The 24859-nt window shown below is 39.3% G+C and overlaps 1 protein-coding gene across 22 annotated transcripts in view, besides 1 other annotated feature; it reads left to right on the top strand.

The window, feature by feature from the left end:
• The window catches only part of DDX60L (DExD/H-box 60 like), a 123758-nt gene that overhangs the window by 75932 nt on the left and 22967 nt on the right, over positions 1-24859 (top strand). For 14 of the 22 annotated variants that reach the window (XM_005263341.5, XM_011532403.3, XM_047416395.1 and 11 more), the window contains 7 exons: positions 455-579; positions 3583-3735; positions 8434-8602; positions 9944-10096; positions 12917-13021; positions 19749-19949; positions 24731-24835. In XM_005263341.5, the coding sequence (XP_005263398.2) occupies positions 455-579; positions 3583-3735; positions 8434-8602; positions 9944-10096; positions 12917-13021; positions 19749-19949; positions 24731-24835 (1011 nt within the window). Of the gene's footprint in view, positions 1-454; positions 580-3582; positions 3736-8433; positions 8603-9943; positions 10097-12916; positions 13022-14030; positions 14463-19748; positions 19950-24730; positions 24836-24859 lie in introns of those variants that run through there. The other 8 variants (XM_047416399.1, XM_011532405.2, NM_001012967.3 and 5 more) reach the window with 5 other exon arrangements.
• Positions 10095-10264: an enhancer, noted in NCBI's record as "experimental_76114 CRE fragment used in MPRA reporter constructs". NCBI's record gives its function as "activates a minimal promoter by MPRAs in K562 erythroleukemia cells, with activity observed for the non-introgressed 4:169315533 variant allele {active_cell/tissue: K562}" and the evidence as "EXISTENCE:reporter gene assay evidence [ECO:0000049][PMID:34662402]".

Below are 24859 nucleotides of genomic sequence, written 5' to 3'. Positions count from 1 at the left end.
CTATTACAAATTATTGGTAGACATAGTTAAAACTTTTTCTTTTTAATTTTAAGAAATTAAATTTCTTTTCCATTATAGGTTTTATATACTCCTTAACATATTTGGCAGCTATTTTGTTATATAATAACTGGAGAAACCCTTTGTCACTCTTCCTGCAACAGTTGAAACAGCAACATTTTATGAACATCCTTATCCTACTGACTTATTTGTAGTACCTACAAAATATCATATATTATATTTTATATCTTTTATTATCTATTCTTTAGTATAGAGATGTCTGTGACTCTGTTGACTTTTACCACTACTTGATAATATTAAAGGACTATTTTAAAAACCCACCCAAAATTATATATGAAAAATTATTCTAATTTTAGACAACAAAATAATTCCTTTCTTTCTTCTGTTTCCACAAATTCTTTTTTTTTTTTTAAATAATTTTTACTTACTGTTGTAGGTCAAAAGAGTACTGAAGAACCTTAGTCCGGATTCATTGTCTAGTTCAAAAGATATGGTGAAAATGTTTCCTCTTCTTGTTGAAAAGTTAAGACAAATGGATAAGTTGCCTGCAATATTTTTTTTGTAAGTAACTGAAACTTAATTTATCTTTGTTTATATGTGAGAATTTTTTGTTTGGTTTTGTTTTCAATTAGTCTCATTTATATATAGTGGTTAGAAGTAACCCTACTTTTACCATTTTGTTGCATTTTAGAAAAATAATATAGATTTTATTTTTAAAGAAATGGGTCAGTCTTCTAGGTCAATCCTTATAAAATTTTTCATCTTATTACCCTCTTACTTCCTTGACTTTTGATTTTTAAAAAGGTTTTCAGCTTTCCTAAATTTCTTTTTGTAAGCAACTATCATTAACTTTAGAAATGTTCCTTTAGGAACTAAATTGCATTTTTCATGTACAGATGTAAAACACATAAAGCATTCATAATTTATTGAATGTTTGGTTTTTAATTTATAGCTAAGAAAACTAAGCCCAGAGGCTTTCCTTGATATGGTGTGGTATACTAAAAAGACCTTGAGTGGTATTTAGCATCTCTCTTTGATTAGGAGAACCGAAGTGGGACACATTAAGTGGGTAACACTGTGTACCCTGGACCCACTCTAATAATCAGAACCAAAAAACTTATTTAGCCCAGAGAATTTTAAATTATTTTAACTACGAAAATTTGCATAAAATAAATTCCCAGGACCTTGATCCAATGGTAATGTGAAGTTGTTTACAAAGACAAACACACAAACACATAGGTGTGTAGATACGTTAAATGGTAGCACTAAGCCACATGTGTTCTGTTACGCATCCGAAGTCCGTGCTGGTGGTCAGTAACCAAAAGATGATGATAAGAGAAATTAAAGAGTAGTATGACTGAAGTCACAAATGTGGGGAATTACAAGAAAATTTCTTCTTCTTTTGTGCTTGGACCAGAGTAAACAAATGAGGTATTCTGCCAACATGTTATAACATCTATCTAGATTACTTTCCAGTGTGGCTCTGAATTTTAGTTAGAAACAAATGTACCCCTATATATCACTGAGGAATGGCTGAAAGTATGACTTTGGGATAGGAATCTGAACAGAAACAGGATTCATTATTTATACACTTACATGCATTTACTTTTGTAAAATAAATTATTTTTAAAAATAGACATTTTAAATGTTTGGGAACGAGATCTTTGCCAGCTTTAACGGAGTTTCCAGTTGTCTTGAAAATATGCTACAGAAATCCTAGGTTGAGTCCACTGGTTTGTAGCTCTGGAACATTGAGAACTCTATGACAGTTGGTTTAGGCTCAAGCTGGGTCAACTTCCCTTCCCTAATCTGGACCCTAGAAAAAACACATGGTGCTGACAAGATGCATGATTAGTGACTGGTGCCCATGTAGAGGCGTAGTTAAGAGCGCATACTTTGGGTCAAATCTTAGCTTAAACTGCAGCTCTGCCCTCCTTTGGCTATGTGACTTCTGAAAATCTATTTAGCTTCTTGCAGCCTCATTTGAAAAATGGAGATAATAACTAATTCATTGGGTTGTGATATGGGTTAAATGAAATAATTTATATAAAACACTTAACTAATCAGTAGAAAACATGACTGATTGAGGCCCATTCACTAGAATTTTTTTTTTTTTTACACTGGACTCTTGTCATAGATTATCAGAGGGATTGAAAAAGGAAAATTAATTCTAGATGACCTAGGTTTGTTTGTGTTAAAGCAGTAAGAAGAATCATTTAATGCTGTCATTTAGAGTACTGTTTGCAACCAGTAGTATGTGGGTGTTGCATATTAACTTCTATTACTGTGAACACGGAAGCAAATTTAGAAGTGCAGTTAGACATATAGCCTCTGCTTCAGTGAGCTGCGAGTGCACCACTGTACTCCAGTCTGGGCGACAGAGCAAGAGCCTGTCTCAAAAAAAAAAAAAAAAAAAAAGCCTCTGAAGTTGAAGCTGAGTTGCCCGGGTTCTAATCTTAACCTGACCAGTTACTAGGCTATGTGACCTTGAAGACATTTTAAAATTTCCTTTGGCATTTACTTCTTCATCTGCAAAACAGAGATAATATTACCTTCCTCATAACGTCATGGTAGAGATTAAATTAGTTAATATATTGAAGCCACATAGAACAGTGCCTGGAACTTGGTCATTGTTTGCTATTATTATTTTTGCTTTTTTACATACCAGATCTTCTTACCATGCATAGTAGACTGTGACTTTCCTAGTCTTTGTTTCTTCAGTGTATTAATTTAATGCTGATCAGCTAAATAGGATTTCTTTTCGAAGTCTGTTTTCTAAACATGCTAGTAAATCCATGGCCTCACAAGTAGTATTCGAAAAAATTCTATGGTGAACTCAGCCTAGAATGAGTGTTATATTACTGGACATTACATACATTGAGCCAAAACATTTTTTTCTAGCAAACTGTATGTCAAGATGATCATGGTAAATGGACATATGATATTGTCAAACTCCCTAAAGTATTTGAAGAGATTTATTCCGAGCCAAATATGAGTGACCATGGCCTGTGACACATCCCACAGGAGATCCTGAGAACATGTGCCCAAGGGCTACAGCTTGGTTTTATACATTTTAGGGAGATATGAGACATTAATCAAATACATTTAACATATACCTTGGTTTGGTCCAGAAAGGCAGGACAACTCAAAGTTGGGGAGGGAGGCTTCCAGGTTACAGGTAGATTTAAAAATTTTCTGATTGGGAATTGGTTGAAATAGTTATCAACAGAAAGGGATGTCTGGGTTATGATAAGAGGTTGTGGAGACCAGAGTTTTACCAGGCACATGAAGCCTCCAGGTAGCTGGCTTCAGAGAGAATAGACTGTAAATGTTTCTTATCAGACTTAAGGTCTACATTGGTGTTAATGCTGGAGAGTATCGAGAGGTATGTTGAACCCCTACTTCCCATCGGGGCTTAAACCAGTCTTTCAGTTTAAATTTTAGAGTGCCCTGGCCTAGGATGAAGTCTATTCAGATGATTGAGGGGCCTTATAATTTTATTTTTGGTTTACAATATGGATAGAAACATAGTCTTTTCAAAGCACTGTTTTCATTTGTTTTAAGGTTTAAGAATGATGATGTGGGAAAAAGAGCTGGAAGTGTGTGCACTTTTCTGGAGAAGACAGAGACAAAAAGCCATCCCCACACTGAATGTCATAGTTATGTCTTTGCAATAGATGAAGTACTTGAAAAAGTGAGGAAGACACAGAAAAGGATGTAAGTATTAATGTTTACTTAAACAAATTGGCCCCTGAAGACTAAAATATTTACAAGACACTGTCAGAAATGTTTAGAGACCTGAGCCACAAAGAGGTTCTTGTTATTGCTTCACAGTTTTTGCAAATAGAGTAAATTTGGGTGGGAGGATGGGAGGAAGGGAATCCCTCTTATACATGTAGATGGATTTCATTTAGGAATCGGGGAGGTGGGACTACAGCCTGTAAGCCTAAGGGTCAACTGGGCCTCCTAGGAGGCCCTCAGCCTACTTAACCATAACCTGCATTCATGCCCTAGGCCACAACCTGGAGGTTTCCTGGTCTGTAGAACGCTTATTCACTATTGGTGGGAGTGTAAATTAGTTCAACCATTGTGGAAGATAGTGTGGTGATTCCTCAAAGACCAAAAGACAGAAATACCATTCAACCCAGCAATCCCATTGCTGGGCGTCTACCCAAAGGAATATAAATCATTCTGTTGTAAAGATACATGCATGCATATGTTCACTGAAGCACCATTCACAATAGCAAAGACATGGAATCAACCTAGATGCCCATCAATGATAGACTGGATAAGGAAAATGTGGTACATGTACACCAAGGAATACTATGCAGCCATAAAAAAGAATGAGATTATGTCCTTTACAGGGACATTGATAGAGCTGTAGGCCATTATTCTTAGCAAACTAATGCAGGAACAGAAAACCAAATACTACATGTTCTCACTTATAAGTAGGAAGTAAATTATGAGAATACATGGACACATAGAGGGGAACAACACACACTGGGGCCTATCCGAGGGTGGAGGGTGGGAGGAAAAGGGAGAGAGAGGATCAGGAGAAATACCTAATAGGCACTAGGCTTAATACCTGGGTTATGAAATAATCTGTACAACAAACTCTCATGACCTAAGTTTACCTATATAACAAATCTGCACATGTACCATTGAACTTAAAATAAAACTTAAAAACAAAAGAATGGCCTATAGAATGAATTGCCATACCAATCGTATGCTTGGGGTAGGACTTCACTGCTGTGATTTTTTTTTCCTTTCTCCCCAAGGTCTGATTAATTCTGACAGTTCCATGGTCAAAATATTTCTTCTCTCCTTGCCATCCTCTCCATCCTCACTTACTGGCTCTGCCTTGGTTCAGGTCCTTGCCATTTGTTATTTGGCATTCTTTGGAGTCTTTCTCATGTGTAATTTCTTGTTCCAGGTTCACCTGTTCCAATGTTATTGAAATACAGGTGCTGGTCTGGTTGTTCTGTTATGGGATTCTGTTACGGGTGTTGCTTTTCTGGCCGGAAACCTCTGTGGCCAATGGCACCTTTGCTGCACACAGCCAGGCATGCTAGCTGCAGAGGGGTGGGCAGCTCCAGGCACTGTCACGGGCACCAGCTTCCTGTGAGGCTGGGGCTGGACCAGGCGTACTGCAAGCAGCTTCCACGGCTGGCATGGGGGAACATGGTGGTGCCCAGAGATGCCAGGAACTGCAGAGCCCCAAAGAAGTTATCACAGCCATGGCTTGGGGAGCTCCTAGGTCTGGCTCCCTGAAGGGCTGCAGCTCTTCTCTCCTTCTCTCTTCTCTCCAGCTCATCACCCATAACGTGGCAAGCAAGGGGTGTGTTTCAGCCCTGTTTGTGTTACAGGTCTTTTAGCCCTGCCATTCAGTGGTCCCAAGTTCTTGTCCCGTATCCAGGAAGAATGAGGTACACAGACAAGTGGAGGGTAAGCAAGGTGAAGAAGAGCTTTATTGAGAAATGGAACAGCTCAGAGGAGACCTGCAGTGGGTAGCTTCTCTCTGCAGGTGGGATGTCCCATTGAGTGTTGAGCTCTTAGCAGAGAGGAGACCCTGGAGTGGGTTGCTCCTCTCTGCAGGCAGGTAATCCCATCAAGTGCTTAGCTCTCAGTGGAGAGAAGACCCTGGAGTGGGTCACTCCTCTTTGCAGTTGGTTGCCCTGTTGAGTCCTCAGCTTTTAGCAGAGATGAGGCCCTGGAGTGGGTAGCTCCCCTCCGTAGCTGGTAATCCTGACATCTGCTCAGCTCTCAGCAGAGAGGAGACCCTGGAGTGGGTAGCTCCTCTCGGAAGCTGGTCGTCTGTTGAGTCCTCAAGTCTGGCTGAGTCTGAGGTTTATATAGGATTCAGAGGGGAAGAAGTGTGTGCTGATTGGTCCATGGGTGGCCATGGGCAGGCCTGGAGAAAGCACCGTTAAGTTCCCACTCTGGTCCACAGGACTGGCAGCCCAGCCCCCAGGTTTCAGGCCTTTCTCAGCTTGAAGGTGGGACTTCACCAGGGACCCACTCCTTTCTGCTCCGAGCCTGTCTGCCTCCTGCTGCTGTTCATGGCACCCAGGCTCTTTGTGCCAAAGGGCCGCCTGCAGGCCAGTGCCGAGCTGCTCTTAGCCCCCACTTTGGCCTCCCTCCCATGCTCACTGGCACTCAATGTCTGGAAACAGCCGAGTCAACAGGGGGCTGGCATGTCAGCGCTGTCCTGAGCGTGCACACACCTGGCTAGGTTGTGACAGCACCTAGGCTTGGCCTCAACTTTTCTCTGAGTTTGGAGTGGGTGCCAGGAGCAGGGAGAGGCCAGGCAGCAGGAGCAGACACTTCTGAGCCTGTGGAGTAGGGACTTGGAGCAGAGAGAGGCCAGGTAGTGGGAGCAGGTGCTTCCAAACCTGCAGAGGGAAGGGGGCCTTCCTGGGCCCCCGAGAGTGTGGAGATGCCTGGGTCCACAGTTGCAGCTTGGGTGGCTGCAGCTATATCTGGAAGGATGGGGCTCCTGTCCACTCCTGGCACCCAAGTGCACGGGGAGGCCCGGGTCTGCAGCCATGGCTTGGGTGGCTGCAGCTATTCCCATAAGGGCGGGGCTCCTGCCTGCTCCCAGCCCCCAAGAGCACAGGGATGCCTGGGTCTGCAGCTGCAGCTGCAGCTTGGGTGGCTACAGCTGTGCCTGGGGAAGGCGTCTCCCACCCTGTCAACTCAGAAGTGGGCAGGACTTCCACCTGTTCCCAGCTTCTGCTGGCTCCATGGAGCACGCAGCCCTGGCCTTGCCTCTCCCACTGCAGCCGGTGTCCTGGCAGCGGCCGCTCCAGATTAGCCACTGCTGCCATCAGTTCTAATGTGCACATTTAGTTAGATTGTCGTACATACAAAGTTCTTCCTTCTGAATGGCTTGGTAGGGTTGTTAATGGGTAGGCACTCACATGAATTGCTCTCCACCATCTGAATCTATGTAGCACACACTGCATCTACCTGGAGGGCCTTCCTTCCTGTTAGCTCATAAATCTGCTCATTTCCCCCACATCTTTTGTTTAAAATCTGTCTTCTCTCTGAAGTTTATAATGATTGCCTCAGATAGATCTATTACCCTTTGTCTTTTGTTCTCATTCCACTTTGAATCATTAAAGCATTTGGATTAATTATAACACTGCATTGCAGTTGTTTCCATATCTTTATTTTCTTTAGATTGGGAGTTCCCTTACCAGAACTGTGCATATTCTTCTTTGAGTCCCTCAGTAATAGCATATTGCCTGGCACATAGTAATAGTGCTTCATAAATACTTTTGAAAGACTAATTAAACCTTCCCTCAACATTTGTCTTAGTCCATAACAAGTTACCATAGACTAAGTGGCTTCTAAACAGAAACTTATTTCTCACAGTTCTGGAGGTTAGGAAGTCCAAGATCAGGATGTTGACAGAGCTGCTTCCTGGTTCATAGAGAGCTGTCTTCTCTGTGTCCTTACTTGGTGGAAGGGGCGAGGGATGTCTCTGGAGCCTCTTTTATAAGGTCGCCAATCCCATTCATGAAAACTCTGTCTTCGTGACTTAATCACCTCCTAAAGACCCCACCTTCTGATATCACAAATGGAGTTTAGGATTTCAACATATGAATTTGTTTTGAGGGGGCACAAACATTCAGTCTGTAACAATATTGAAACAACTTCCGTAGCCCTTCTAATTCAGACGTTGCCTAAAGACTAGGGCAAGCTCTCTATTGTTTCCACCACTGCTTTGATCTTCTTTCTGCTTGTTGTGTATATTTTTTGGACGTAGGGGAAGGGAAAAATACCTGGGAGAGAGATGTCGGAGCTCCAGGTCTTCTCGGTGACTGATTCTCTTCAGTCAGTCTTTTTTCAGGACTAGGAACTACATTTCAAGTTGGATGTGTAATGAATGATATGGGCCATGAAAATAAAGAGTATTTAATGGTATAATCAATTTTTCTCTTAGGCCTAGTCAGGAAGGGTCTCTGCTGTCAGCATGGATATTTAAATTACCCTTTTCTTTCTGGAACCCTCTTCATAAGACCAGAGTTACTGGGATCAGGGGATGTGCCAACTAATTCTAGACTGTGCCACACACCCCGCCCCCTTTGCTTTTCCACTGTGCTCTGGCCACTGCTCAAAAGAGATTCAGTAGCAGAAATTTTCCTGAGAAGAACTGGATATCTGTTACAGTGTGAAGGAGGAGAAATTATGCAGAGAAAATGAAGAAAATATAGAGGATTTTGCTGATGAGGGGACCTGACTTCTAGATGAAATGGTGGAAGTGCACGTGAGGAAGGGGAGACCAAGTCAGGATTGATGGAGCTACTGTCAACGTCGGATGACCAAGGGAAATCTGTGGGGCCTTAGGCTTCTTGCAGTAACTGAATATGAGTTTTCATTACTTAAAAGTTTTTTTTTTTTTTTAAATAGTAGCACTAAAAAAAACCCAAAGAAGGCTGAAAAACTGGAAAGAAAAAAAGTGTATAGAGCTGAATATATTAATTTCCTGGAGAATCTGAAGATTCTGGAAATTTCTGAGGACTGCACGTATGCTGATGTCAAAGCCCTACACACTGAAATTACCAGGAATAAAGACTCAGTACGTCAGAGAATTATTAATATAATACGTTACAGTTGTGACATTTTATCATAGTGATCGTTTAATATCTTTGAACACTGAAATGACTTGTGTAATACCTTTGAAATATGATTATCTCTGTGTGTGATTTTGTTTGTTTTGCAATGATTATCCCAATTTAATGTGCTAAAGTTCTATAAGTGACTCTTCCTTGCTCAGTGTGAATGTCAGCCTCTTATTTTATTTCACTCTATTATCCTGGATTAGTTTATAGCCTGATTCTAGAATTCAATTCAATATGATATATTTTAATTCTGGTCACGTTTGGGTTTTATGACACAATATATTTTAAATAATGTCAACTGAAAGTTTCAATTTCAGAGACCTATATAACATTCAAAACATTTCTTTAAACAGATATTGAAATATCCAAGGATGGTATGGCATTTAAACATTTTTTATTATGCAAGTAATTTATGTCCATTGCAGAAGTACTTGAAAATAGAAAATAAAAATAATGTCACAGCTCAGAGAGACTCACTGTTCTATCAGATCTTTTATTCTATTGCCTGTAGTCACAAGCATGTCCACAGTCACATAGACATTTCATGTATTTATTCGTTAATAAAATAAGGCCATATTATATACAAATTGGTCTGTAATCTCCTTTCCTCCCTTACTTATTTATTTCTTGCCAACAACAATAGAGCTACATTATTATTTTAATAGCTTCATAGTATATATTTATGTGGATGATTATAATTTATGTAACCAGTTGTCTTACTCTAGGCTGCATAGGCTATTTTTATTGTTTTTTCTTGTTCTCTTAATACATTTTTACCTTTGACATCTTTGCCAACTGCTGGATTTCCTCCTGAGGATAAATTCTTAGAAGTGAGGCTATGAGGGTATGGACATTTTTAAGGGGTTGGATATGACTTGTGAGTGGTTCAGTGAGAAGTAAGAATTGTCTGATCATCTAGAGTAGAGATCTCGCTCTGCCTTCTTGGAGAAGTCTCTCTCTCTTTGCTTGAAAAGGACTCCTAAGGTTCCAGTAGAGAAGTAGTCTGTCTCTCTCAGGCAGCAGAAGATTGTTTACTCATCTGTCCTGGGCATTTGATCTGCTGCTTCAATAGCATCTTCCCCTTTGGTTTATGAATGCCTCTTTTCTGAGAGAGTCTGTTCACAAAAATGGGCAGATTGTTTCCGTAGTCATAAAACATGTAGGTTCAGGGTCAAAGGGCAGCCTCACTGTGTGCAAGATGTAAGTGATTTGCTTGTGAAAATGTCCTTTGATTCTGATTGAGCTTGAAATTAAATAAAATACATCATCAATTGTTTTACACTTCTTTCTTGTTTTAGACTTTGGAGAGGGTATTACCGCGAGTGCGATTTACAAGACACGGCAAAGAACTGAAGGCTTTAGCACAAAGGGGGATTGGATATCATCACAGCAGCATGTATTTTAAAGAAAAAGAGTTTGTTGAGATACTCTTTGTAAAAGGGCTTATTAGGGTAGGTAAATTTCTTTGCATTTAAAAAATAAAGTTGTGCATATTATGATGCTGAATACCACTAAAAGGTAAAAAATTATACCAGTTGGTTTTCTCATCTAACCAGTGTCTTTTTATTACAACTCACTGGACTGGACTGCTCCATCTATCCCATTTATTAGAGGAGTTTAAAAATTATTTCTACGTTGAAAAATAATATTTATAATGGAGTAGTATAGCTGTGGTAATCCAGGTGTAACACTTTACTCTTTTTTTTTTTTTAATTTTTATTAGATCGAGTCTCGCTCTGTTTTCCAGGCTGGAGTGCAGTGGCGCGATCTTGGCTTACTGCAACCTCCACCTCCCAGCGTCAATCAATTTTCCTACTTTAGCCGTCCCGTGTAGCTGGGATTACAAGCGCGCACCATCATGCTCAGTTAATTTTTTTTGTATTTTATTACAGACAGGGTTTCACCATACGGGCCAGCCTGTTCTCGAACTCCTGACCTCATGATCCACCCACCTGGGGCTCCCAAAGTGCTGGGATTACAGGCGTGAGCCACTGTGCCTGGTCATAACCCTTTACTCTTTAACACTTAGTATCTAGGACACAGTTCTTACAATTTTGTCCTAGACAGCTCATAAGGATATTTATACATTTAGTATAAATGACTATACATTTGGTCAGACTATTTTCTAATGTCATACCTCAGCTAAGAGAAAGACATTTCTTTTTTAAGAATTGGAAAAAACTTGCACTAGACTAACATGTTTTAGACAGAGCTGATAGATGTGATACCTCCAAATGAACTTGGAAGAGGGTAAGGACATCTTAGATGGCTCATAGTTAAATGCTTTATGTTAACTTTTTGTTAGTATGTTTCAGAAGCTTGCAATATTCTATTTCTAGGTGGGGACAGTGTGTGAAGAGTTGTGTAGAAGGGTAGCCGTTACACTATTCAGGGTATTTATTTTGTAATCTTTTTTTTGTGAGACGGTGTCTTGCTCTGTCCCCCAGGCTGGAGTGCAGTGGCATAATCTCGGCTCACTGCAACCTCCGCCTCCTGGGTTCAAGCCATTCTCCTGCCTCATTCTCTTCAGTAGCTGGGATTACAGGCATGCACCACCACACCCAGCTAATTTTTGTATTTTTAGTAGAGACAGGGTTTCACCATGTTGGCCACGCTGGTCTCAAACTCCTGACCTCAGGTAATCAGCCCACCTCAGCCTCCCGAAATGCTGGTATTACAGGCGTGAGCCACCATGCCCAGCCATTTTTGTAATCTTAAGAAGAGTGAGGAGTATTAGATATCATAAATAAAAGTTGTTTCTTGCTGTTTATAAAAATAAAATATTGTGAACAACTCTGCTCAGTTTTCATATCTGTATCATTTATTTGTCATTTTAAAGGACAAATAACCAGAAAAGTTTTCATAAAGGTTATTAATTATGGGCAAAGGTCACTCCAATTTTGTTCATCACAGTCAGTGTTGTAGACCTTGTCACATAGTAGTGGCTCAATAAAAGTTAATGAGTGAGTAAATGAATGAATATATAAATGAATGAATAGCCATATTGTTATAAAAGTGTTATTCTGAGACTGTGGGAGCTTGCTACACGGAACACTTTTTTTTTTTTTTTTTTTTGAGACAGAGTTTCACTCTTGTTGCCCAGGCTGGAGTGCAATGGTTTAATCTCGGCTCGCTGCAACGTCCGTCTCCAGGGTTCAAGCAATTCTGCCTCTGCCTCCTGAGTAGTTGGGATTACAGGCATGTGCCACCATGCCTGGCTAATTTTGTATTTTTAATAGAGGCAGGGTTTCTCCATGTTGGTCAGGCTGGTCTCGAACTCCTCACCTCAGGTGATCGGCCTGCCTTGGCCTCCCAAAGTGCTGAAGTTACAGGCGTGAGCCACTACACTTGGCCAGAACACTTTTTTTTTTCTAAATGATACTCATTATGGCTAAATTCTAAAGTTTGGTGATTTGAGCCTTTCATTTTTATTGATGAACTTTTACAGATGAACCAATAATGGGTTGAATTTGGATGGGTTTATAAATATCAATTAGAAAGTCTTTTTGCTCACTCTTTATCATTAAATAATTGAAATAATTATGGCACAGGTTAATATTAGTGTATTTGACAGGAAGAGAGAGCAGCTATATGCACCTAGCATTACATAGGTGATTGGGCACATAACTGATATTAAGAGAGTAAATAAGAAGGAAAATGTAACTTTATTATCCTTCAATTAATTAGATCAGTTAGCTGTTTGGATAAAACCTCCATAAACAAACATGAGAATAAGAGAAGGTGGTTGTCCAGAGTACGTAAGACAAAACATTATTACCCTATCTTAAGGAAAATTTGTATGCTTGTTGTTCATTCATTCATGCAGTTATTGGACACATATTTATTGTGCATCTGCTGTGTGTCCAATACTCTTCCAGGTGTTGAGGATACAGCAGTGGCCAAGAGAGATCAATGCCCATGTCCTCATGATACTTAAGGTCTTGGGGGGACAAGTAAACATGGTTATTTTAGAAACGATGGTGCAGGAAGTCTTTTTGGACATTTATATAGAGATCAGAAAAAGCCTGCAAATGGAGATTTGGGGAAAATGATTTTAGGGTGAGCAAATGGCAACAGTTAGGATGCTGAAGTAGCAATGTTCTTTGAATAATCAGGCAGTTGCAAGAACAGTAGGGTTAGTATGTTAGTTTTAATGACATGTGGTTTGTTAAAGCTCTAAGAGTTGTTCAGTGACTGGAGTGGAAAATAGATCTTGTGTCCTTATAGATATGCTATATTGTGTATTGACTGTTTTTTTTTTTTTTTCCTAGGTAGTGACAGCTACTGAAACACTTGCCTTAGGGATCCACATGCCATGCAAATCTGTTGTTTTTGCCCAAGACTCAGTCTATCTGGATGCTTTAAATTACAGACAGGTAACTCTCTGACTCTTTAACTCCCATTGCTGAAAGCTGAGTTTGAAATAATGAACCATGTGGCACTCACATCTGGTAACAGGCTACGGTTTGTGTCCTTCCTTTTACTTTCTATGTGGCATAGCATTTTTGAGTTGAGTGGCCTCATATCTTGTTGCTTCATTTTGTGTGATCTATCTGTTGTTACTACTTTTTCATAGTTAGGGTTTATTGGCTTAATAATCTTAATGTATTTCAGTTTTTAGTGTAGTTTTTATATTTCTTGAGAAATGTACAGCTGTTCTGATTCTTGATCCTTTATAGTGCTCCTTTATTTTATTTTTCCGGGAGTATGTAAAATGGTCTGAAATTCCTTGCGTTAGCTGTTTCCTTTAATTTGCCTTTCTCTGTGTGTGGCACTTGGTATTATCAATTCCTGGGTCTTTTGGGAATCCTGTCATTTAAATTAGGTAGGTTTTGACTTCCTTACTTGAAGTTTAGTATTGAGTAATTAGGAGTCATTGACCACCTGTTTTCCAAATTCCAAGCCTTTAATACCATTCACCTTCTTGGGAGTATGCTTTTTTTTTAAAAAGGTTTTTGTTATCATTTTAGTGGAATTTCTGGAGTGAGAAATGTTACTCGGAGGTCTCCAGATAACTTTTTAAAAATCAAGGATAAAAATATGTCTGTATTATAAGGCGAGGGAGGAAAGAGAGATAAATGAAACAAAAACAAGGTTGAGAGTGAGAAAAATAAAAATAAAAGAGAAGGGCTATATAACAGAGATTTAGACACAAAGACAAAGATGTTATACCTGAGAGTCTTCTCATTTCCTTATATGACATCCTATATGTGATATATATTGTAAGTCAAAGGGAAGAAAAATCACCTCCTCTCTATACACTGCTAAAAAAAAAACTGACAATAATCTTTGCCTAGTCTCGAAATATAAAAGATAAATTATAAAATATAAATTTTATCATTTTGCTTATTCTTGAAATTTTCCTCTTTTCTTATTCAAATTTAGATCATGTGAACTCTCCTAGACTGGAATATGAAGACTGTGATTTTACAGAGAAAAGGAGTTTATCTCCATTTCATGACCTTTTAGGATGTTGCTGTTTCAACTTTAAAAGCCATATTTTCCTTTTCTCAAGTATAGCTATAGACCATATCACCTTTTACCATGTTCTGTTATGAAAAACAGGAAGTCCCTGAGCTGGAATTTTTCAGTCTTTCTCTTTTTCATGTAGAGAGCAAAGTTTCTCTTAAGGGACTTTTGTTTCCTTCAGAATTATGGTCTCCTTTTTTCTCTTCCTTGCCAAAATCACTAGTTTGGAAGAAATCCAACATCATTTATTTACTATGGACCACAATGAGAGTGGAACTACTTTGTTATCCTGCCCTGATGACTTAGCATTATCTCCTAGGACAGAATAAAATATACTTTCTCTGTGAATGGATTTTATTTGTTTCTCGAGGGTCAGGTGGCAGACCTTTCTGGGAATTGCCCCTTGCACTTACATCCCTCAACAACCACCTCATCATCCCAAATGTCAGGTTGTCTCTGTCTAGAGAAATGCACTTAAAACAGAATTGTATTTCCATATTATTTCTATGTTATTTACAATTTGTCTAGAAGGATTTGTCATACAATGAGAACCAGAAAATGTTAGTTCTACTGCTTGCACTTTCGTACCAAAAGTATTTCATGCATCTCAGTTTTGTCATGATCTTATAGCTACAGCCTTGGTTTAGCTGTCATTATTTTGACTTCATGTCAGTATTTTGACACATCTTCCAACTAGAAGTAAGCATTTACTATGTTTTATACTTAAAAGTTTTAAAAAAGAAAATCTACCTGTGGATTTATGTTTCTCACTCAATAACTAAGTTATTATTTAGAAATATAAATAGAAAATTCAGTCTCCAAAGCTGGTTTCCCAGGAACTGACTTCAGTGACTTTGTCCAGCTGTATCAGAATCTTGTTCTTTCTCTAGATCTATTTGAATATGTGGCATGAAGCTATGCACCTTCCTTCCTTCTAGTGCTTTCTTTGATAGAGGAATCTAGTCTCATGGGAGTGTGATTTTTCCTAGCACAGCAGGTAATACAGACCCCTGAACTATGTATTTTATATTAGCTCTTGAAAGCAAATAATACGCTTTCCTGTATTAATTGAAAAAAATGATATGGATTTTCTGCTAACATGCCATTTTCTCCTTTTGGTCTTTCCATTTTCTATCTTTCAAAATATACTCATTTATATATTCCCTCAAATGGCATTTATTATGAGTCAAATACATGTCATGACCTGCTCCTAGGTGTTGTCCTCATGTCACTCAATCTTCGTAGGACTTTATTGCCTGTAAAATAAAGAGAATACTTGTTAGCTTCACCTTCCTGGCTTTTCTTCAACAATCAAGGAGAGCAGATTACACAAGGCTGTGAATAGCAGGAAGCTGTGATTATTAGAATCATTGGGAGCAGCCACTGAGAAAGCTGCCTACCACAGTCTGCTGCCTGGGTCCCAATGAGTCACTTCTTTCCCATAAGCAAAAACACATTCACTGCCTCCCAGGGACTCCAAAAGTCTCCTTATTGGCATACTCCTGGGATTGCTCTAGTTATCAGAATGCCCTTATTGCTATCACAGTCTCTTGGTATCCTTTCCTGGGCCTCTTCACCACCATGTCAGCATTACCTTGATTCTGCCTACATTCAAACCAGCCTGTTGCCCTGCCCCTCCCCTGCTGGGACTGCTCACCACCACACTGGTGGCCTGGCTCAAGTCTTGCCTCAGGTACCTATGTGCTAGATCTTCACAGTGCTTCTGAAGGAGTATGTATAATGATTAATATGGGGGAATCTGGTCCTAGATTCCCTAGGCTTAACTCTTTGCCATATTCTTTACTAGCTGTGCAACTACGGACAAGTTAGTTAATTTCTCAGGTGTCAGTTTCTCAATCTGTACGATGGTGACAATAATTATATTTTAGAAAGTTATTATGAGGACTAACTGAAAAATGTACACCACTCAGAACTGTGCACAGCACATAGTAAGTGCTCAATGAATGCCAGCTGTTATTAGTAGGGCCCTTTGCATCCTGATCACCATGTGATTTTTTAAAAATATATATATTTATTTCTTGTTCTTTCCTAGTGAGAACCTTCTGGCACAAATTGTTTTAGTAATTGACCTCTCATTTCTGCTATGCCTTGTTCATCAGGACATTTGCTCTCCTTCTTCCTCTTAGAGACTTTTCCTTCTTTCCCCTGATTGAAATCCTAGCCCTTTACAAGGGTCTGATTGAACTGTCCTTATATGTTTTCTTTGAAGTCTTCTTTGATTACTCCAGCTTTGGGGAAATGTGATTGCGCTTGTTCTTTCACTGTTCTTGTTATGTGCTCTTGTAAATTCCATTAAGGAATTTGTATCTCAAATAGCAATTAGCATGGGGATGACAAGAGATGCTGAAGGTATTTGTGGAACTGATGATTTCTTCTGTACAATGTGCGTCCATCTATGCCAGGCTGTCATTTTCAGTTGTGGTATAATGGAAACCATGATAATGGAAAATCTGTGGACATGAGGTGATTATTGCCAAACAGATGTGAGACTTCAGATGAGATATCTGAACTGCTGGATCTTCCTTCACTGTCTCCAGAATGGCTGTGATAATCACTACCCCACAGCCCATGTGAGGATTAAGTGAAATAGGAAAGAGACACATTAAAGGTCCTTAATAAACATTTCCTTCTTCATTTGCCGTGCCCACTTTTTCACTCCGGAGTCATCTTTAATGCTTTTCTCTCCTTTGCTTTTGATGCTTAATCTATTACACAGATCGTCCAATTACTTTTCTGCAGTGGTGTCCTCAGATTTCTGTATCACAATTTCTGTAGCCAGCATCCTTCTTCCTTCATTCTTTACCCAGGGCTATTATAAGAGTGTTAACAAAAGGATATGAGATCTGCAGAGGCAAAACAGAGTTTTATTTTCTATAAAAAACAATCTGCAGATTGGAGAAACTCAGCCTTTGCTGTAAGTGAAAGTGGGCTCTTCAAAGAACAAAGGGAGGGTCTGGCCTAAATAGGGAAAGTTCTCAGCCTTGTTTTCAATCAGATCCTTTGTTTGCAAATGAAGGATTCAAACTTCTTCCTTTCTGATTGGTTGAAATAGTTGAGCTCTGACTGAGTGGTTTCCAAGCTCCGAACCAGAAGTTTCCATCAGATGTTTCTTTCAAACAGCTAGGAGTGGAGATTTCCAACCACAGTTTATCTTGGCACCACCAACAGCAGCTGGTTTGGCTTGATCGTAGGAAGCATCCTTTGACACCTTTACATCTTTCTGAGAACACAGCATGCATGACCACTCCCTCACCCTGCCGTGACTGCCTAGTTCTGTTTTACCTTTGAGCACCTCAGCCACAGGAGTCCATTCTGTCTGTTGGCCAGGGGCATACTTTAACAGTCCTCCTGGTTATGATTTGCCCGTATTCTATTCTGTGCTGTAGATGATGGATAGCATCGTTTTTCTTCATGTCATTTTCTGGCAAGGGAATATTTGATGGCTAATTCTACTCTAGGGTCAAATATAGAAGTGTTGGCAATATTCAAGCCCTTTATCAATAAAATTCCTTTTGCTCTCTATCTAAAATATGTATATTCTTATGCTCATGAACATTTATCCTAATCAATCTAATCTTCTTACTGTTTCTAACCATCTTTCTAATCTCTGTCTTCTTGCTTTTTTCTTCTCTGCTGTCATTGTTTCGCATGGGTTGTCTACCACGTAATCTTCAGGAATCTCATTTTTAGGATTCCCAGAGGCAGGCTCACCTGGCCCTTGGGGACGTGACTTTGATTAAAAAAACATCAGGGATTAGTTGAATCTGCTACTTCTCAGTTGTTGGATTGTGGCTAAGTTACTTAGGTTCTCTGCGCTCACTTTTCTTATCTTTGTTCTTTTTTTTTTTTTCAACATCATATTAGAAGTCCTTCTTTATCTTTAAATGGGGCTGACAATACTCTGTACCTCACTGGATTATTATGAAGACCGCCTAAAACTAATTTATATAAAGGGCCCAGCACATATTAAGCATTGAATAAATGGCTGTTACTTCTTCTGCAAATAGTTGGTCCTTGACATACCTCTTCCACGAAGCCTTTCAAAATGTTGTCTCTTTCAATAAATTTACTTGATTTGTATCTCAAGGAGCTTAGGCACACTTTTTAAATTTCATTACTTTTAACTCTATTTGTTAAAAGAGTTAGAGAAAATGGCTTAAATAGGGAACAGTTGCTGTTGGTGGTGCCAAGTGTGGTTGGAATTCCCCGCTTCCAGCCGTTTGAAAGAAACATCCGGCAGACTCTTCTAGTTTGGAGCTTGAAACCACCCAGTCAGGGCTCAACTATTTCAACCAAGCAGAACTGAAGAAGTTTGAATCCTTCATTTGCAAATGAAGGATCTGATTGAAAACAAGGCTGAGAACTTTCCCTATTCAAGACACTCTCTAGTTCTATTCCTCCCTCTCTCTCTCCCCTTCTCCCTTTCCCTCTCCCTCCCTCCCTCTATCCCTCTATCACTCCCTCCCTCTCTCCTTCTCTTTGTGTGTGTGTGTGGTGAGAAAGAGTGGGGGTATATGGACTCTAAGCTCCTTTAGAGCAGATTCCATTTGTGTTTCTTTTACGTATCATCTTACCATCCCTAGTACAGTTGTCTGCATGATAGGGAATACCTGTTAATGACTCTGCCTCTGAATATGAGCAAAACGCAAACTGCTTTTTCTATTCTGTCACTCTATAATAATCACTACAATCAACACAGAAGACTTCTGTGACCAAATGTGTGGGGATTTCTGCTCACCACCGAGTGAGCAGTCAATTCTGCAGCTCAATTCAATTCCACATTACCTACCTGAAGATAGCATCGGATTCCACACATTGAGGGCTCAGTCCCCAAGACTGCCTCCTCTTCAGACACCAGTCACAAGTGCAGTCCTCTGGAACTTATGACCAACTGGCTTCAAGTTGGGGTTCCCATGACCCCCTCTTTGAGTTTAGTTAATTTTCTAGAGTGGCTCATGGAACTCAGAAACACTTATATTTATCAGTTTATTATGAAGGATATTATAAAGGATACAGAAGAGCTGTGAGGGCAAGGTATGGGTCAAGGGGCACGGAGCTTCCATGCCCTCTGAGGGCACACCACCCTCCAGGAAACTCCGTGTATTCAGCTGTGTGGAAGCTCTTTGAGACAGTCCCTTTAGGTTTTTATGGAAACTTCACTACACAGGCCTGAAGAATTAAACCATTAGCCACTGGTGATAAACTTAACCTTGAGCCCTTCTCCCTTCCCCAGAAATTGCGAGGAGGGGCTGAAAGTCCCAATCCTCTAATCATGCCTTGGTCTTTCTGGTGACCAGTCCCCGTCCTGAAGCTGCCTAGAGACTGCCAGCTATCAGCCAACTCATTCACATACAGATATTGGAGAGTCCAAGGATTTTATGAGTCATATGCCAGCAACTGGGGCCAAAGACCAAATATATATCACAATGCCTCCTTATCTCTTTTGCCCAGCCACACTGTATTTTTTAAGTGCCATGTTAACATAGATTAGTTTCAGGACTAAATACACAATTTAACACAATCCCGGATAACAAGTGTAAAGTCATAAATCTTTGGACTTCATAGGATAATTATCTGTGGAGGTTTTACATTGTGATTCTTTGCTGCTTCCAGATGTCTGGTCGTGCTGGAAGAAGAGGTCAAGACCTGCTTGGAAATGTGTATTTCTTTGATATCCCATTGCCCAAAATAAAAAGACTCCTTGCATCCAGTGTTCCTGAGCTGAGAGGACAGTTCCCTCTCAGCATAACCCTGGTCCTGCGACTCATGCTGCTGGCTTCCAAGGGAGATGACCCAGAGGATGCCAAGGCAAAGGTACCGTGCTGGACACTGCCTGAGGTTCAGTCTTCATCACTGGCCTGGCTCTAGTCAGGTCTGCTGCTCTTTTAGAAGTCTGTCTTGAGAAAGAAAATAAACTTTCTTTTTGTTTGATTGTTTTGGAGACAGGGTCTTGCTGTGTCATCTAGGCTGGAGTGCAGTGGTACAATCATGGTTTACTGCAGCCTTAATCACCTGGGCTCAAGTGATCTTCCCATCTCAGCATCCCAAGTAGCTGGGACTACAGGTGTACACCACCATGCCCAGCTAATTTTTATTTTATTTTTTTGTGTAGAGGTGAGGGCTCACTGTTGCCCAGGCTGGTCTCAAACTCCTGGGCTCAAGCAATCCACCCACTGTATTAGGGTTCTGTAGAGTGACAGAACTAATAGGATAGATATATGTATAAAGAAGAGTTTATTAAGTATTAACTCACATGATCACAAGGACCCATAATAGGCCATCTGCAAGCTGAGGAGCAAGGAAGCCAGTCTGAGTCCCAAAATGAAAGAACTTGGAGTCTGATGCTCAAGGGCAGGAAGTATCCAGCACAGGAGAAAGATGTAGTTTGGGAGACTAAGTCAGTCTAGCCTTTTCATTTTTTCTGCCTGCTTTATATTCTGGCCATGCTGGCAGCTGATTAGATGGTGCCCACCCACATTAAGGGTGGGTCTGCCTTTCCCAGCCCACTGAGTCAAATGTTAATCTCCTTTGGCAACACGCTCAAAGACACACCTAGGATCAATACTTTGAATGCTTCAATCCAATCAAGTTGACACTCAGTGTTAACCATCACACCTGCCTTGGCCTCCCAGAATGTTGAGATTACAGGTGTGAACCAGTGCACTTGGCCAAGAAACTTTTTATCTGAGGAATGTGAGTGCCCTTTAATTATCAGGCCCAGAGAGGCATTGGAGTGTGACAGGGTGTGACAGCAGTCATGTCTCACTCCCCTCGTGAGCTAAATAATTACCTCTTGAAGCCACTTCCTATGTGAACTCTAGGCTAACTGACATGAAGTAGCCATAAAACACCATACATTGGACACCATACCTCATTCCTTGTAGTTCAACAATGTATAGCCAATCACAAATCAATGTTATTTCTGTAAAACTGTGAGAACTCCTGTCAAAAAACTTTGTATCAGCCCACTTCTTGTCCCCTTTTGCCTTTAAAAATCTACTTGTAGCAAAGGCTGAGCAGAATACTTTTTGGGACAACTTGGAAGTGTGTCTGTCCCAGACAGCTGTCTTCAACCTTGGCCCAAATGAACTCTCTATATTAATTTTGCCCCAGTATTTTTCACGTCAACAGTAGCAATAGCTCTTCAGTTTCATCACTCTTTTAATGCTTTGCATTTTCTTGATTATTATATGTTTCTTCAGGACAGAAAAAAATAATTTTGTTTTACCACCAAAGACCATAAGGCATTAAGAATTACCAGGGTTATTTTAATGTGTGAAAAGCAATATAGTATAGTGGTTGAATATTGGCTATAGACTCATAAAGGTCTGGAATAGGTCCCTGGTTCAATTATTTACTGACTATTTAACTTTAATAAGGCAATTACATTTTCCTAAATCTCAGAACTGTCAGCTACAAAATGGCAATAACAACCACTATAAATTATAGTTAATGCAAGTCAAGGACTTCTTAGCATCATATTCGATGAGTAGTAAACACATAAATGCTAGCTATTATTGTTTGTAGTCTCAGGTCTTATGATTTTAGTTTTAGGTTTTTTTTGTTTTGCTTTAGTGTTCATTAAAGAGAAGAATGGGAAAAGCACTTGCTAACTTTTTCATTCTTTTTATATGTTGATTTTTACTTTTTCCTTTATAAAGGAAGTCAAGTATGAGTGAAAACTGATAATATAACTTGTTTTTGACTGTCTATATATTTTTTGTGGAAAAATAGATTTGCTTCTACCTTAAATTCTGTTATGTTGTCAGCATTTGCCACTTAATTAATTAGATCAATATGAAATTTTTACATTAAAGAATTATTAGAAGAATTATAAGTGAAATGAAAGATTGAATGTATTCTCAAATGTGTCACTCTTAATTCCAGATAAAAATGAGGAAAACAGTATTGCTGTATTAAAAATAAAAATTATATTTTAAATATAAAATAACCTGTTTATAAAAGTTTATTTGGAACCATAGAAAAGCTGAAAGAAGGAAAAATCACCCATACCTAGTTCCACTACTCACTTGATCTTAGCCAAAAGGCCAAGAAGCGATAGTTCCACTACTCAAAGGAAACTGCTTTATTATTTTGGTATATTTCTTCCAGTCTTTTCTACCTAAATGTGGGTAAGTGTTTGCTTTTTAAAGAATGGATGCAGTTATGTTGAACTAGATGTCAGAATTTGGTAAATTTGCCTGAGGTTTTCAATCAGAACAATTTTGGGGGATGTAACCCCATGTTGAGTAATATATAATTCACATTAAAATTTAAATTTAATAAAATATCATTGTAAGGTTACCAAGTTTTCCATATTCTTATATATTCATTATCATGGCCAGTTACGTCAGATTCCACTTGCCAAGACAAAGAGTCTTCCCAGAACCCTGTAATGAGTCAGGTGTGTGCCTTTTGATAGTCACAGAGAACAGCGACACCCAGTTCTATGTAAAAGTGGCCCCATTCTTGGTTTTGATTACTCTCCCAGGAAGAGAGAGTAGTACACTTTAAAGGTTTTTGTTATTGTTTTTCATATAATAACGTTTGTGAGGGTGGCATATTTTCTGGGCTCCTGCGTATTTGAGGAGATTTTTTCTTTTGTAGTAAGGACAATTTAACCTGGCATAAATTTTTTGGATTTGAGCCATTAGTCTTCAGAATTGTCGATGCTTCATTTTCTTTGGCATCTACTGTTGTGGAGATATAATCTGTGGCCCTACTGATTGCTGTTTTCTTGTAGGTCACTTGACTTTTTCTGCCCATGTATATGGATCCTTTTCTTTATTCTTATATGTTACTTTTTTAGGAGAAGTTTCTAGTTATAGTTTTTTTTTTTAAAAAAAATTGATAGTGTTTATCATATTCAGAACCTTTTCAATTTATCACATTCAAGTTGTTTTTGAAGAAGTATATTTATTAAATTAGATTTTTAATTTGATTTCTATTTTAATTGCTTTGGTTTCTTTATTAGAAAAAGTTTCACTGGCTGGGTATGGTGGCATATACCTGTAGTCCCAGCTATTTGGGAGGCTGAGGCAGGAGGATCACTTGAGTCCAGGAGTTTGAGGTTGCAGTGAGCTATGACCTACTGCACTCCAGCCTGTGATGGGAGGGAATGCTGCAAAGGTCTCTGAAATGTCTGTGAGGACTTTTCCAATTGTCTTGACTATCAGCATTTGCCTTCCTTTTAGTTATACAAATACATGCAGGCTGCTTGAATTCCTGCCCAGAAAATAGGCTTTTCTTTTCTGCCACATGGCTAGGCTGCATATTTTTCAGATTTATACTCTGCTTCCCTTTCAAATACAAGTTCTAGTTTCAGGTGATTTCTTTGCTAACACATATGCGCATAGGTTGATAGAAGCAGCCAGGCTACATCTTGAACACTTTGCTACTTAGAAATTTATTTCTGCCACATACCCTAAATCATCTCTTTCAAGTTCAAAGTTCTACAGTTCCCTAGAGCAGGAGCACAATGCAGCTAACCTCTTTGCTAACACTTAACAAAATTGACCTTTGCTCCAGTTCCCAATAAGTTCTTCATCTCCATCTGAGACCTCATTAGCCTGGACTTCATTGTCCATATTACTATTAGCATTTTGATCACAACAGTTTAACAAGTCTTTAGGATCCAAACTTTCCCTCATCTTCCTGTCTTCTTCTGAGCCCTCCACAAAATTCCAACCTCTGTCCACTATGCAGTTCCAAAATCGCTTCCACATTTTCAGATATCTTTATAGCAGTGCCCCACTCCTCAGTATCAACTTCCTGTATTAGTTCATTCTCACGCTGCTATACAGAGACACTTGAGACTGGGTAATTTATAAAGAAAAGACATTTTATTGGCTTATGGTTCTGCAGGCTGTACAGGAAGCATAAGTAGCTTCTGCTTCTGGGTAGGCCTCAGGAAACTTTCAATCATGTCAGAAAGTGAAGCAGAAGTAGGCCGTGTGTTACATGCATGGCTGGAGCAGGAGGAAGAGAGGTAGAGGGGAGGTGCTACACACTTTTAAACAACCAGATCTCATGATAACTCACTATCATGAGAACAGCACCAGAGGGGAAATTCACCTCCATGATCCAATCACCTCCAATCAGGCCCCACCTCCAACACTGGGGATTACAATTTGACATGAAATTTGGGTGATGACACAGATCCAAATATTTCCATTCTGTTGACTGCAATCTACCTAATTCCATTAGGTTTAATGGGATAACTCAAGATTCAGAACAATATAATTACTCTATTTACCTTTAGAATGGCCTAAGACAACTAATCTTGTAAGCCGGATTGGCTTTCATACTTCATTTTTTCAGGCCACTATTGGTCACCACTGTTTCAGGGATTTAGCAGATTATTTGCCAGTCTGGGTTATGTATAACAGTTCTGCTTTATATGATGTATTTAATTCAAGGAAGCATGTGCCATGTGAAGATACAATCAAAGAGATAATATGAAATCAAATGAAATTTACTTTCACGTAAGATCTGGTAACCTTATCTATATAGTATGTATGTGTACTATTTATTACATATCAGTATTTACAAATACTGTTTAAAACTAGATAAATTAAAGTACTCTTCTTTTATAGGTGTTGTCAGTGCTAAAGCATTCATTGCTGTCTTTTAAGAGACGAAGAGCCATGGAGACTTTGAAACTTTACTTTTTGTTTTCCTTGCAGCTCCTTATCAAAGAGGTATCATCGTGCTTTGGCTTTTTG

The sequence above is a fragment of the Homo sapiens genome, chromosome 4, assembly GCF_000001405.40.
Source record: "Homo sapiens chromosome 4, GRCh38.p14 Primary Assembly".
Classification (NCBI taxonomy): domain Eukaryota; kingdom Metazoa; phylum Chordata; class Mammalia; order Primates; family Hominidae; genus Homo; species Homo sapiens.
The sequence above is the reverse complement of the archived record's forward strand: the minus strand, read 5'-3'. Positions and strand labels throughout refer to the sequence as shown.